The 16,988-nt window shown below is 37.4% G+C and overlaps 1 annotated feature.

Moving 5' to 3' along the window:
- Window positions 2,370-2,953: an enhancer, noted in NCBI's record as "OCT4-NANOG hESC enhancer chr4:135604303-135604886 (GRCh37/hg19 assembly coordinates)". NCBI's record gives its function as "activates a minimal SCP1, AML or CMV promoter by ChIP-STARR-seq in primed H9 embryonic stem cells {active_cell/tissue: H9 hESC(primed)}" and the evidence as "EXISTENCE:reporter gene assay evidence [ECO:0000049][PMID:30033119]".

The raw sequence follows: 16,988 nt of genomic DNA, 5'->3' as shown, positions 1-16,988 counted from the left end.
TGCTGTGTTCAAGAGAACTATTCATGTGCGAGGACACACATAGGCACAAAGTAAAGCGATGGAGAAAAATCTACCAAGCAAATGGTAACAGAAAAAAGCAGGGTTGCCATTCTAATTTCAGACAAAACAAACTTTAAGCCAACAATTATCTAAAAGACAGAGAAATGCATTACATGATGGTAAAGTATTCAATTCAAGAAGAGGACATAATTATCCTAAATATATATACACCCAACACAGGACCACCCAGATTCCTAAAACAAGTTCATAGAGATCTACAAATAAACTCAGATGACTGCACAATAATAGTGGGAGATTTTAACAATCCACTGACAGTATTAGATAGATCATCTAGGGAGAAAACTAACAAAGATATTCAGGGAGAAAACTAACAAAGATATTCAGGGAGAAAACTGAACAAAGATTCAGGATCTGACCTCAACACTCGACCATATAGACCTAATAGACATCTACAGAACTCTCCACCTGAAACAACAGAATATACACTCTTCTTATTGCCCCATGGTATGTGCTCTACAATCGACCACACAATCAGCTATAAAACAATCCTCAGCAAATTGAAAGAAACCAAAATCATACCAACCACACTCTCAGATCACAGTGGAAAAAAAAATAGAAACCAATACTAACAAAATTTCTCAAAACCACACAATTACATGAAAATTAAGCTCCCTGCTCCTGAATGACTTTTGGGTAAACACAGAAATTAAGGCAGAAATCAAGAGAAAGTAATGACAAGAAAGATACGACAGAACCAGAATCTCTAGGACACAGCTGAAGCAGTATGGAGAGGGACATGTAAAACACTACATGCCCAAATAGAAAAGGAAGAAAGATCTCAAATTAACAACCTTAACATCACAATTAGTGGAACTAGAGAAGCAAGAACAAACCAACCCCAAAGCTAGTGGAAGACAAGAAACAACCAAAATCAGAGCTGAACTGAAGGACGTTGGGACACACAAAAACCATATAAAAGATCAAGTCCATGAGTTTGTTTTTTGAAAGAGTAAGTTAGATAAATAGGCTGCTAGCTAGACAAATATATAAAAGAAGAGAAGACCCAAATAAACACAATCAGAAATGACAAGAAGGAGGTTACCACAGACAGTGCAGAATTACAAAAACCCTCAGAGACAACTACAAACAACTTTATGAACATAAGCTAGAAAATCTAGAATAAATGGATAAATTCCTGGAAACATACAACCTGCCAAGATTGAACCAGGAAGAAACTGAATCCCTGAACAGACCAATAATGGCTTCCAAAATTGAATCAGGAATAAAAAGCCTACCAACCAGAAAAAGCTCAGGACCGGATGGATTAACTGAAACATTCTACCAGATATATATGAAGAAGAGCTGGTACCATTCCTTCTGAAATTTTCCCAAAATATTGAGAAGAGACTCCTCCCTATCCTTTCTAACTCATTCTTTGAAGCCAGCATCATCGTGGTACCAAAATCTGTCAGAGACCTACATAATAAAGAAAACTTCAGGCCAATATCCTTGATGAGCATAGATGCAAAAATTCTCAACAAAATATTAGCAAACCAAATACAGCAACACATCAAAAAGCTAATCTATCACGATCAAGTAGGCTTTATTTCTTGGCATCAAGTTTGGTTTAACCTACACAAACCAATAACGTAACTCATCACATAAACACAACTAAAAACAAGAACCACATGATCATTTCAATAAATGTCTAAAAAGCTTTAGATAAAATTCAACATTTCTTCAAGTTCAAAACCCTCAAAAACTGGCATTGAAGAAACATACTTCAAAATATTAACAGCCATTTATGACAAACTCACAGCCAACATAATACTGAATAGTCAAAAGCTGGAAGCATTCTCCTTGAGAACCAGAATATGACAAGAATGCTCACTGTCACCACTCCTATTCAACATAGTCCTGGAAGTCCTAGACAGAGCAATTAGGCAAGAGAAAGAAACAAAAAGTATTCAAGTAGGAGGAGAGAAATTCAAACTATTTCTATTTTCAGATAATATGATTTTATACCTAGAAAACCCCACAGTATCAGCCCAAAAGTTCTTTGATCTGATAAGCCACTCCAGCAAAGTTTTAAGATAAAATATTAATGTGCAAAAGTCAGTTGCATTTCTATACACCAACAACACCCAGGCTGAAAGCCAAATCAAGAACACAATGCTATTCCCAGTAGCCACAAAAGAAATAAAATACCTAGGAACACAGTGAATCATGAAGGGGAAAGATCTCTACAATGAGAATTACAAAACGTAAAACATTTCATGCTTATGGATAGGAAAAATCAATATTGTTAAAATAGCCATATGGCCCAAAGCAGTTTACCGATTCTATGCTATTCTTACCAAACTACCAAAGACATTCTTCACAGAATTAGAAAAGGCTATTTTAAAGTCCATATGGAACCAAAACAAACAAACAAACAAAAAGCCTGAATATTCAAGGCAATTCTAAGCAAAAAGAACTAGGCTGAAGGCATTATATTACCCTACATCAAACTATACCACACAGTTACTGTCAGGCCTCTGAGCCCAAGCTAAGCCATCATATCCCCTGTGACCTGCATGTACACATCCAGATGGCCGGTTCCTGCCTTAACTGATGACATTCCACCACAAAAGAAGTGCAAATGGCCTGTTCCTGCCTTAACTGATGACATTGTCTTGTGAAATTCCTTCTCCTGGCTCATCCTGGCTCAAAAGCTCCCCTACTGAGCATCTTGTGACCCCCGACTCTGCCCGCCAGAGAACAACCCCCCTTTGTAATTTTCCTTTACCTACCCAAATCCTATAAAACGGCCCCACCCCATCTCCCTTCCCTGACTCTCTTTTCGGACTCAGCCCGCCTGCACCCAGGTGAAATAAACAGCCATGTTGCTCACACAAAGCCTGTTTGGTGGTCTCTTCACACAGACGTGTATGAAATTTGGTGCCGTGACTTGGATTGGGGGACCTCCCTTGGGAGATCAATCCCCCGTCCTCCTGCTCTTTGCTCTGTGAGAAAGATCCACCTATGCCTCAGGTCCTCAGACTGACCAGCCCAAGAAACATCTCACCAATTTCAAATCGGGTAAGCCCCCTCTTCTTACTCTCTTCTGCAACCTCTCTCACTGTTTCTCAGCCTCTTTCTCCTTTCCACTCTTCAATCTCTCCCTTCTTTTAATTTCAATTCCTTTCATTTTCTGGTAGAGACAAAGGAGACACATTTTATTGGTGGACCCAGAACTCCGGCGCTGGTCATTGACTGGGAAGGCAGCCTTCCCTTGGTGTTTAATTATTGCAGGGATGCCTCTTTGATTATTCACCCAGGTTTCAGAGGTGTCAGACCACGCAGGGACGCCTGCCTTGGTCCTTCACCCTTAGTGGCAAGTCCCACTTTTCTGGGGAAGGGGCAAGTACCCCAACCCCTTCTCTCCGTGTCTCTACCCCTTCTCCACCTTTCTGGGGGGCAAGAAACCCCCAACCCCTTCTCCTTCACCCTTAGTGACAAGTCCCGCTTTTCTGGGGGAGGAGCAAATACCCCAACCTTGTATCTCTGCACCCCAATCCCTTATTTCCATGCCCCGACCTCTTATCTCGGTGCCCCAACCCCTTATTTCCACACCCCAACCCCTTTCCCGCTTTTGTGGAGGGCAAGAACCCCCCACCCCTTCTCCGTGTCTCTATTCTTTTCTCTGGGCTTGCCTCCCTCACTATGGGCAAGCTTCCACCTTCCATTCCTCCTTCTTCTCCCTTAGCCTGTGTTCTTAAGAACTTAAAACCTCTTCAACTATCACCTGACCTAAAATCTTAAGTGTCTTATTTTCTTCTGCAATGCCACTTGACCCCAATACAAACTCGATAGTAGTTCCAAATAGCCAGAAAATGGCACTTTCAATTTTTCCATCCTACAAGATCTAAATAATTCTTGTCATAAAATGGGCAAATGGTCTGAGGTGCCTGACGTCCAGGCATTCTTTTACACATCGGTCCCTTCCTAGTCTCTGTGCCCAATGCAACTCGTCCCAAATCTTCCTTCTTTCCCTCCCACCTGTCCCCTCAGTCCCAATCCCAAGCGTCACTGAGTCTTTCTAATCTTCCTTTTCTACAGACCTATCTGACCTCTCCCCTCCTGGCCAGGCCGAGCTAGGTCCCAATTCTTCCTCAGCCTCAGCTCCTCCACCCTATAATCCTTTTATCACCTCCCCTCCTCACACCCAGTCAGGCTTACAGTTTCCTTCCATGACTAGCCCTCCCCCACCTGCCCAGCAATTTACTCTTAAAAAGGTGGCTGGAGCTAAAGGCATAGTCAAGGTTAATGCTCCTTTTTCTTTATCCCAAATCAGATAGCATTTAGGCTCTTTTTCATCAAATATAAAAATCCAGCCCAGTTCATGACTTGTTTGGCAGCAACCCTGAGACACTTTACAGCTCTAGACCCTAAAATGTCAAAAGGCCGTCTTATTCTCAAAATACATTTTATTACCCAATCTGCTCCCGACATTAAATAAAACTCCAAAAATTAAATTCCGGCCCTCAAACCCCACAACAGGATTTAATTAGCCTCACCTTCAAGGTGTACAATAATAGAAAACAGTTGCAATTCCTTGCCTCCACTGTGAGACAAACCCCAGCCACATCTCCAGCACACAAGAACTTCCAAACACCTGAACCGCAGCAGCCAGGCATTCCTCCAGAACCTCCTCCCCCAGTAGCTTGCTACAAGTGCCAGAAATCTGGCCACCAGGCCAAGGAATACCTGCAGCCCAGGATTCCTCCTAAGCCACGTCCCATCTGTGCGGGACCCCACTGGAAATCGGACTGTCCAACTCACCTGGCAGCCACTCCCAGAGCCCCTGGAACTCTGGCCCAAGGCTCTGACTCCTTCCTGGGTCTTCTTGGCTTAGCAGCTGAAGACTGATGGTGGCTGATGGCCTCGGAAGCCCCCTAGACCATCACGGATGCCAAGCTTCCAGTAACTCTCACAGTGGAGGGTAAGTCTGTCCCCTTCTTAATCAATACGGAGGCTACCCACTCCACATTACCTTCTTTTCAAGGGCCTGTTTCCCTTGCCTCCATAACTGTTGTGGTTACTGACGGCCAGGCTTCTAAACCTCTTAAAACTCCCCAACTCTGGTGCCAACTTGGACAACACTCTTTTATGCACTCTTTTTTAGTTATCCCCACCTGCCCAGTTCCCTTATTAGGCCGAGACACTTTAACCAAATTATCTGCTTCCCTGACTATTCCTGGACTACAGCTGCATCTCATTGCCACCCTTCTCCCCAACCCAAAGCCTCCTTCGCGTCTTCCTCTCGTATCCCCCCACCTTAACACACAAGTATGGGACATCTCTACTCCTTCCCTGGCAAGGATCACATGCCCATTACCATCCCATTAAAACCTAATCACCCTTACCCCGCTCAATGCCAATATCCCATCCCACAGCACGCTTTAAAAGGATTAAAGCCCGTTATCACTCGCCTGCTACAGCATGGGCTTCTAAAACCTATAAACTCTCCTTACAATTCCCCCATTTTACCTGTCCAAAAACTGGACAAGTCTTACAGATTAGTTCAGGATCTGCGCCTTATCAACCAAATTGTTTTGCCTATCCATCCTGTGGTGCCCAACCCGTACACTCTTTTGTCCTCAATACCTTCCTCCACAACTCACTATTCCGTTCTCGATCTTAAAGATGCTTTTTTCACTATTCCCCTGCACCCCTCATCCCAGCCTCTCTTTGCTTTCACTTAGACTGACCCTGACACCCATCAGGCTCAGCAAATTACCTGGGCTGTACTGCCGCAAGGCTTCACAGACAGCCCCCATTACTTCAGTCAAGCCGAAATTTCATCCTCATCTGTTACCTATCTCGGCATAATTCTCATAAAAACACACGTGCTTTCCCTGCTGATCATGTCCGATTAATCTCCCAAACCTCAATCCCTTACAAAACAACAACTCCTTTCCTTCCTAGGCATGGTTAGTGCAGTCAGAATTCTTACACAAGAGCCAAGACTGCACCCTGTAGCCTTTCTGTCCAAACAACTTGACCTTACTGTTTTAGCCTAGCCTTCGTGTCTCCGTGCAGCAGCTGCTGCCACTCTAATACTTTCAGAGGCCCTCAAAATCACAAACTATGCTCAACTCACTCTCTACATTTCTCATAACTTCCAAAATCTATTTTCTTCCTCATACCTGACACATATACTTTCTGTTCCCTGGCTCCTTCAGCTGTACTCACTCTTTGTTAAGTCCCACAATTACCATTGTTCCTGGCCCAGACTTCAGTCCGGCCTCCCACATTATTCTGGATACCACACCTGACCCTCATGACTGTATCTCTCTGATCCACCTGACATTCACCCCATTTCCGCATATTTCCTTCTTTCCTGCTCCTCACCCTGATCACGCTTGATTTATTAATGGCAGTTCCACCAGGCCTAATCGCCACACACCAGCAAAGGCAGGCTATGCTATAGTACAAGTCACTAGCCCGCCTCTTAAAACCTCTCATTTCCTTTCCATCGTGGAAATCTATCCTCAAGGAAATAACTTCTCAGTGTTCCATCTGCTATTCTACTACTCCTCAAGGATTATTCAGGCCCCCCTCCCTTCCCTACACATCAAGCTCGAGGATTTGCCCCCACCCAGGACTTGCAAATTAGCTTTACTCAACATGCCCCGAGTCAGATAACTAAAATACCTCTTAGTCTAGGTAGACACTTTCACTGGATAGGTAGAGTCCTTTCCTACAGGGTCTGAGAAGGCCACTGCAGTCATTTCTTCCCTTCTGTCAGACATAATTCCTCAGTTTAGCCTTCCCACCTCTATACAGTCTGATAGCAGACCAGCCTTTATTAGTCAAATCAGCCAAGCATTTTTTCAGGCTCTTAGTATTCAGTGAAACCTTTATATCCCTTACAGTCCTCAGTCTTCAGGAAAAGTAGAACAGACTAATGGTCTTTTAAAAACACACCTCACCAAGCTCAGCCACCAACTTAAAAAGGACTAGACAATACTTTTACCACTTTCCCTTCTCAGAAGTCAGACCTGTCCTCAGAATGCTACAGTGTACAGCCCATTTGAGGTCCTGTATAGATGCTCCTTTTTATTAGGCCCCAGTCTCATTCCAGACACCAGACTAACTTAGACTGTGCCCCAAAAAAACTTGTCATCTCTACTATCTTCTGTCTAGTCATACTCCTATTCACCGTTCTGAACTACTCATACATGCTCTGCTCTTGTTTACACTGCCAGTTTACACTGTTTCTCCAAGCCATCACAGCTGATGTCTCCTGGTGCTATCCCCAAACTGCCACTCTTAACTCTTGAAGTAAATAAATAATCTTTGCTGGCAGGACTATGCTGAATTTCCTTAGGCACTCTCTAATTAGATGTCCTACGTCCTCCCAATTCTTAGACCTTTAATAGCTGTTTTTCTCCTTCTCTTATTCCGTTTAGTTTTTCAATTCATACAAAACTGTATCCAGGCCATTACCAATAATTCTAAATGACAAATATTTCTTCTAACAGTCCCACAATATCACCCCTTACCACAAAATCTTCCTTCAGCTTAATCTCTCCCACTCTAGGTTCCCATGCTGCCCCTAATCCCACTCAAAGCACCCTGAGAAACATCGCCCATTGTCTCTCCATACCACCCCCAAAAATTTTCACCGCCCCAACACTTTACCACTATTTCATTTTATTTTTCTTATTAATATAAGAAGACAGGAATGTCAGGCCTCGGAGCCCAAGCTAAGCCATCATATCCCCTGTGACCTGCATGTACACATCCAGATGGCCGGTTCCTGCCTTAACTGATGACATTCCACCACAAAAGAAGTGAAAATGGCCTGTTCCTGCCTTAACTGATGACATTGTCTTGTGAAATTCCTTCTCCTGGCTCATCCTGGCTCAAAAGCTCCCCTACTGAGCACCTTGTGACCCCCACTCTGCCCGCCAGAGAACAACCCCCCTTTGACTGTAATTTTCCTTTACCTACCCAAATCCTATAAAACGGCCCCACCCCATCTCCCTTCACTGACTCTCTTTTCGGACTCAGCCCGCCTGCACCCAGGTGAAATAAACAGCCATGTTGCTCACACAAAGCCTGTTTGGTGGTCTCTTCACACGGACGCGCATGAAAGTTACTGTAACCAAAACACCATGGTACTGATACAAAAACAGACACACAGAACAACAGGACAGAATAGAGAGCCCAGAAATAATGTTGCACACCTACAACTATCTGATGTTCAAAAAGCTAACAAAAAAAAAGCAAGGGGGAAAGGACTCCCCATTTAATAACTGGTTCTGAGATAACTGGATAGCAATATTGCAGAAAATTGAAACCAGATTGCTTCCTTATGAGATGCACAAAAATCAACACAAGATGAACTAAAGATTTAAATGTAAAACCTGAAACTATAAAAACCCTGGAAGATAACCTAGGAAATACCATTCTGGACATAGGTGCTGGCAAAACTTTGATGATGAAGATGCCAAAAGCAATTGCAACAAAAACAAATATTGATAAATGGGACCTAATTAAATTAAACTAAAAAGCTTCTGCACAGCAAAAGAAACTATCAACAGAATAAATAGACGACCCACAGATTGTGAGAAAATATTTACAAAGTGTGTATCCTGTAAAGGTTTCATACCAAGAACCTGTAAGGAACTTAAATTAACAAGCAAAATCAAGCAAACCAATTCAAAAGTGGGTAAAGGACATCAACAGTCACTTTTCAAAAGGAGACCATATATGTGTGGCCAATAAGCAAATAAAAAAGTTCTCAATACCACTAACCATTGAAGAAATGCAAATCAAAACCACAATGAGATACCATTGGAATAATCTATATTCCAAACCCCAGTGATGCACAATTACCTATATTACAAACCTGCATATATACTCCTGAAACTAAAATATAAGTTAAAAAAAAAGAGGAAGAGAATTTAGCCTATTGGAGAAAAATAAAATAAAATTAGTAATTCCAATTCAAAATACTTAGTTACATTTCAATTCAAAATGAATCACTTGATTTAAACTTTCAGTTGTTTCTTACTAAATATTTATACAATATTGAAATATTTCTAAAGATTACAGAGCATATATGTACAATTTTTTAAATGAGTATTTAAATATTTAGGAATATGTTAAAGTAGGCAATTGTAATACTTTAGGTGATAACCTGAAGGTATAAATTTACATATATAGTCTGAAAGGGCTTAATTAGCTAAGTGCATAATAAATTTGAAATTTAACTAAAGTCCCTAATGTTAAAACTGCTAAAATGTACTAGGCATAAATAAAATAATGTTTCTGAGAAAATCCTGCTATTGGAATTAACTATTTTTAAGATAAGTTAAATAGTAAATTATAAAACCATAGTGAACTTGGGTATGAAAGCCATTATCTGTAATCTTTAAATGAAGCTTTATGCAGAATAATGTTTGGGAAGTTAGAAGTCTCAAGATACCATTTTTTGGGGAAAAAAAAAGCAAATAATTAAATCGAGCCACTTATTTTTCTTTGTAAAATTACCCTTTTGATCCTTCTAATTTCAGCCTACGACATTATATTCCAGTGATTTTTATGTGTTTTCATGTTGAGACACAAAAAATTTTTATTTTTTACTTTAAAAATGTTAATTCTCTATAGAAGATAAAATTTTTGATGTACTTCTTTGTTCTTACACCTGAATTTAGACTCAGTAGAAGTAAAATGAGAACTTCTACACTTCCCTGCCAAAATATTTGAAATTCTAATCTACTGATGAATTATATTGCAAAAGTAAAAAAATAAATAAAAGGAAATACTTAGTATTAAAAGGAAAAATAATCAGAAAATACCAGGTAAATATTCACAGGAGGCTCCTTATAATCACTAGGCACAATCAAAATCTGTAAATGTTACCTCATTTTTTTTTTTCAGATATATAGACAAAATGTGTTAATGTTAACTCCGTGAAAGGAAAATAAAATCTTGGGACACCAAACTCACTATGCCAATGGGAACAGTTAAGCTTTGAAACTGAGTAACTCAAAAAAGCTAAAAACTGCCTTTCATTTTGTTTCTAAACAGATAGCTGCAAGATAGAAGGCACACATCCCCTCAGGTGGCCTCCCTCACATTGGCAATGTAAATTAACACCTTATCTTCACAGCAATGGTAGAAAGACAGATTAGAAATCATTTTTTCACCCACCCTAAGATGACAAAGCCATGCTTGACTTTTTCCTCTACTCTATGTTCATCTTATGTAAAATGCAGATTTGGTGAGCTCATGAGATGAAAGCATAATTGACTGCCACCTCCTTTCTCACGTAACATGTGGATTCAGGGAGTGCAAATCAAAGGCTCACAAGAATGTCACTGCTTATATCATTACGCACCATCTCTTTTTTTATTTTCTACTTCTCTTCCTGCCTCCTTTTTCCCCTTTTAATACTGAATTTCTCAAAAACCTCTTTGGAAAAGGAATGGATCACAGACACTACTGTAATTTGTGTTTTTTTCTCCCATGGGCACGTCCTCAAGCTTTGCAAAATAAACCTCTAATTCATTGAGACTTGCTTTAGTCATTTCCTTTAGTTTGCAACTCTTTTAATTGCATCATTACATCATTTTAAAAATCTTCATATTAACTTATTATTAGCACTCTTAACTTCTCTTTTGTTAAAGTAAACATTATTTTTAGGAGATTAATAAAGAATTTCCATATTAGTTATAGTGACTTCTCAAAATGTATGTAAGTGCTAATTTTAACTCTTCCTCAAGTTACACAATGATATATATATAGGCCTAATGTAAATCACACTCATCTTAAAAAATAATATTTTTGCTTTTATATTAAATTTTTATAAATTATTAAAAATACATTAGTAATTTATGAAAATATACATTTCTCTAAAAAAATACATTTTATTAAGTAAAATTGTCTGCAATTAGCTATGATTAAAGTGACTACTGTTAAAATAATATAACAGCATTTACATAAGTTACAGATTATTATATTATTCACATCATTATTGTTTTATTTAATATTTTACTTTGTATTAAAGTCTTTATAGTGCTCCTCTGATTAGCTAGATAACAAGAATAGTAGTCAAAGTAAACACTTTCAGTAATTATTTATTAATAGCTAATCCCATTAAGTTATTTTCAAAGACAGAACATTTGTAGTTTGTATGATTATAATTTCATAAATTCATCAGACATTGCTGAGGGTTGCAGAATATGTCACTTATATGGCATAAGGATTATACCGAGCTGAAAGTAAATGAGAAGAAGCAGATACAAGAAAAACTCCTTCTATTTGACTAAATGAACAACACAAATTTGTAAAGGTGTCCTTCATCCCTTCTCTACAAGAAAAAACAGCTTTAATCACAGAGAAAACCCTAGACTCTTAATAGCCCAAAGAGAGGACCAGAAGAATTTACATAGTAAACTTCACTAGCTAGCCTTATCTTCCATAAGTTTCTCCCATATATTTAACTTCCTGCAATTTGTAACCTTAGAAACTCCAAAGTCCTTCTCTCTAAGAATTTATTTTTCTTTCATTAAGATGCTGTATATGCCCAAGTTGTCATCAGCCCTTTGAGTTAGTCCTGAGTGCTTCCATATGAATGAGTAATGCAATGTTAATAAACTTGTTTGCTCCTCTCTTGTTACTCTGTCTTTCTGCACTGTAATTTGCATGACCCCAGCAGAAGAACCCAGGAGGGATAGAGGAAAATAACTTTTTTCTCTCCTATATAGCGTAATATTTTTTTTATCTATATACACATTTTCTTGTTTAAAAATATTAATTAGTTCAATTTATCATTTTATCTATTATTTATCTTTCCATTTACTTAATAAGTTAATTGAGTGTTTTTCAAAGTAAAAAATATCAACAGTAATTATTATAAAGTATTATATACGGCCATTTTCCAGTTTAGCAAATTAAGTTATAGGAGTCCTAAAAATTTGCATTTCAGATAAAAAAAGAACATTATTTTATTTAGTATAAGTGTGCCTCATGCAATATTTGGGTATACTTAATACTAAAAAACAATCTGAAACTCAGATTCAATTGTGCTTTTCTTGCTTATAAAACTTATATTTTCTATCTAGCCATTTTATTTTTGAGTGCATAGAAATATTCCTATACCTGAATAACGTGCTTTACAAATTCTCATATAAGACATTCTTACCTCATGACCTCCGTGTATTATACATAGATTTAAAGTATTAATCAAGACAAAGCTTTTTTTTAAGTACTCAAAGTATACTAGTACTACTGACTGCAGTAATAATCCTATTCTTCAAATAGCCAAATTATTTCCTGACACAATCTTTTCACTCAGCTCTCTTTTTTGATATCCAGGGGCCTAAGAACATCTACAATAATTTAAACAGCATGTCTGTGAGGTGTGCATAACTTCAAGAGATTTAATTTATACTTCTTTTACTATTGAAGAAAGGGTGAACATTCCCTCATTAAGCAAGCTGATGTTTTCAAACACTAAGTATCTAATCTAAGTCATAGAGCTATGCAGCCGATAGATTCTACAAGGATTGAGTGAAATACAAATAAATACATGAATAAACTATAAAAAGTAAATATAAACATTATTTGATTATAAATAAACATAAATAAAATCTGTTTACCAATTATCTTTACATTGAAAATAGCATTTTATACCTTATAAATGTTATTTGACAATGATGAAACAAAGATATCATGCTACAAAGGAACATAGCCTTAATTTTCAGTATTGAAAATGAAGTTATCCAAAAATAGTTTGAATGTCTTAATTTCAAGTAACTATTTCCACATTTTAAGACGTTATGTTTAAAGTTAACATATTTAACATGTAAATTATGTATTTTCCATTCAAACACATTTTTTATTATGTATAATATAAAAATAATCCTAGAATCTTCTGGAACAAGTACCTTGTAATTTATTATTGATTAAGTATCTATTATAGATCTATGCTATTCTAAGTTAAGATACTATTGCTTCTGGATTCTTATATTAACATTGATTTCATAGGCATTCTTCTTTTGAACTTCAGACATTCAAATACAAATTCTCAGCACAAACAGAGTGATGTAACCATTAACAAATTTTAAACAAGATGGATTTTTTCAAATTTAGAAAATCCATAAACATACGGCTTGTTCTGTTGTTATCACAAAGCACAAATTTTAGAGACATTTCACATTCTTGGGACAACTGTACGAGAGCAACTGCAAAAGCTTTTATTTTTTATATAGCTAATAGAGAAAAATACGAAATATTCTTAAAAAGTTTACCTGTTCTAATAAAAAATACATATATTTTATATTTTTGATAAGATCTTTACCTTAAGGAGTTAAAATTGTAAAAGCTCCAGTCCGGGCGCAGTGGCTCACGCTTGTAATCCCAACACTTTGGGAGGCCGAGGCGGGCGGATCATGAGGTCAGGAGATGGAGAGCATCCTGGCTCACATGGTGAAACCCCGTCTCTACCAAAAATACAAAAAAATTAGCCGGGCGTGGCGTCACGAGCCCGTGGTCCCAGCAACTCGGGAGAATCGCTTGAACCCGGGAGGCAGAGGTTGCAGTGAGCCGAGATCACACTACTGCACTCCAGCCTGGGCGACAGAACAAGACTCCAACTCAAAAAAAAAAAAAAAAAAATTATGCAAGCTCCATAAAAATATCTTTAGTTTTTTTTTTATGGATTGAAATTATACTATTTTAAAAATTATAATATAATATTAATTTAAGAAGACATATAGCTATAGAACCAATTTCGTGCAAAAATTCTATGCAAGATGTCATTACTATATCACAATGTCTGCTCCGCTATCTTAAAAATGTCAATAAATGAGCCACTTTTTGAAACTTATAACTCACTAGGAATACATCCATAATATATAAGAAGTGAATAATCTATTCTCCCACTAAGGCTCCATACAAACAAATTATGCCAGTCTAAACTGTGGAATATAGCGTAATAGATACCGAAATAGATTAAGCTAAACATCATTAAAAGAGACACACAACTTTCTTTTAAACTCACAGTAAATAAAAAACTAGAAAATGCCAGGAACACTTATATCAGGAAAATTGTCAATATTAAAATGGGCAATTAGGATATCAACATTCTATTGCATAAAATTACATGTACTTGAAACTATTTTTATAAATATCAAACAAGGTAGCATTTCTATTAAGAAATATGCTTTTATCTGCAGGCATATTTGAAACAGAAAATGTATGTTATCATCTGCTATATAAAGTGTTGATAACAGCCACAACTTATTACATGGTCACTTGATGCCAGGCAGTATGAAATGCTTACAAAATATGTAATTAGTCAGGGTATGCTAACTGCCATAACAACTATTTTAAAATATCGCTGGCTTAACATCACACATTTTATGGTTCACTCATATTATAGTGTAATGGGGTTGACAGGGGAGACAGCAAGGAATAAGCTTCTACCTCATATATTCATTCAGAGACCCATTTGCCTTCCACCTTATGATATGTAACCATTTTTTAACATGTTACCTCTAAGGTTTACATTTGTGGGAAGAGAAGAAAATGGAGAAAGCCTATCCTCTCCTAAATACCTGAGCCCAAAACTTCTGTACCTCATTTTTGCATTTTCCATGACAAGAACTAACCACATGACTCTACCTACATGTAAAGAATCAAATAATCATATTGTAAAAGTTTGTCCAAGAAGAGACTGTGTGTTCGGTGAGGACCTAGACAATCTCTGCCACATGCCTATTATCTCAAGTAATACCTTATAATATTCTTACGAACAATATTATAAATAGGAAGTAGATATTTTCCCCAAAAGCTGAAAAACATAACCAAAGATTGCCATGTTTGTAGATCTATGACAGAATTACATTTTGCAAGAATAACTTGGCCATAGGAAAAAATACCTAATAACAGAATAGCTGACTAGTTAGTTCAAAATGATTGAAAATATGAATGTTAACAAATGTTTGACTTGGTCTGAGGGTTTGTTTTAAAGAAAAATGTTTATGAGGTTTCATAAGAAGTTATCACTTTGGGGTTCTTGACCTAGCAAATTGAAAAAGACTATCTGGATGAATATTAAAGTTTTTTCAGTCCATTATAACAATATCTCAATGGTTCCTCATTCTCACAGACTCAATGCCCTTTTTGTATAATAGATATTTTGTACTGTGCCAACAGTTAATTAACAAATAATCTATACTATATATATACATGTATGCGTATTTTTTTAAAAGCCAATACAGTAACATAGTGAAAAAGAAAAATTAATGTATAATAAAATAATATGTAATTCAGTGTGTAAACTCTTGAACACAACTATAATAAAACAGCAAGTTGCTTGCACACACATATGGGAAAATGTTTGTATTTTTAAAATACACAAATCAACCTGCCAATACTTTCCCTTTCTATTTGGCATTTTCTGATAAATAAGAACTTTTTATAGTAACAAGAGTAGTGCTGCCATTTGTGATGGCTAATTTTATGTGTCACATGAATCGGTCACAGAGTGTTCAGATATTTCATCAAACATTATCTCTGTCTTTCTGTGAGGATGTTTTTGGATGACATTAATATCTAAATTGATGGACATTTTTTAGTAAAGCAAATTGCCCTCCTTATTGTGGGTGGGCCTCATCCGATCAGCTGAAGCTCTGAATAGAACAGAAAGCCAGCCACCTCTGAGCAGAAGGGAACTCTTCAGCAGATTGGCTTCAGGCTTCACGTGTAACATTGGTTCTTCCTGGGTCTACAGCAGACAACCTTCAGATTCAAACGTGAAAATTGGCTCTTCTGGATCTCCAGTCTGCTGGACTACTCTTGCCAGCTTCCATGGTCATTAGAGTCAATTCCATGTAATAGATCTCTCTCTCTCGCTCTCTCTCTCTCTATACACACACACACACACACACACACACACACATAATTAGTCTGTTCTTTGGAGGACCCTAATAAACTATTGGAGATCTAATTTTTCATAATGGTGAACTATTCTTTATGACACCTAAATAAAAAAAAATTAAATTATTTGCTCAATTTATATAAGAGTATTTCTGGCAAATTTGGAGTACTTTGAAAGTATGAAACAATACTGTGTCTGTAAAATGGAAATATATGATTGTTTCAGATAATTATAACACGTTTTTAACTATAGAAATTTTGGATGACATAGAAATTAGCATAGACCATGCGTTAATCATTTATTTTTGTTACACTGTCCTACACATTGAAATACCTCTAGCTTCCATGGCCCCATTCTTTTGAATGCCAGTGGTGCTAACCAATCAACCAAAACCAGCTCCCTAAATTTTAAAAATTCCCCTTACAAGACAGTAACTCATTGTTTGGGAATCACTGAAGAAGAAAAAAGGTGATCAACTTCTTTCAAGCAAATGAGAGGAGGCTATTTTCTGGTGGTTATGTTTAATAGATAAGAAAATATATGAGAAGTAACTGAATTAATGTTTAAATTATAGCAAAACTGGCTTGTAAATGGAAAATTGAGAGACCTTCTCTATTCCCAGTGACTTCAGCCTGAATTTTTTCCTATTTTACTGAGCAGGGAGGCCTCTTATACCTGTAGGAATTCATGTAATTACTAGAACACTATCATTGCTTCCTTAGGTTTTGCCCATGTCATTCTAGGTGCCTAGCTGAGCCTCTTCACAGGTTAACACACATACACATAACACACACACACACACACACACACACACATCCTGCAATGGGAAGGTACCGTAAGATGGCTGAAATCTTTACACAACTGTCTGTCTTCAGCCTCCCCAAACTTTCCTTAATTCATGCCCTATTTTCCTACTGTCATCACTCTTTGATGAAACAGAACAATTCCTTTCTTATACAGACTATTATCCACATTCAGTCCCCCTTGAGAGATATACCTGCTTCTCAACTACTTTCCCTAACCA

The sequence above is a fragment of the Homo sapiens genome, chromosome 4 (genome assembly GCF_000001405.40).
Source record: "Homo sapiens chromosome 4, GRCh38.p14 Primary Assembly".
NCBI classification, from domain to species: domain Eukaryota; kingdom Metazoa; phylum Chordata; class Mammalia; order Primates; family Hominidae; genus Homo; species Homo sapiens.
This window is presented reverse-complemented; position numbering and strand designations above follow the sequence as displayed.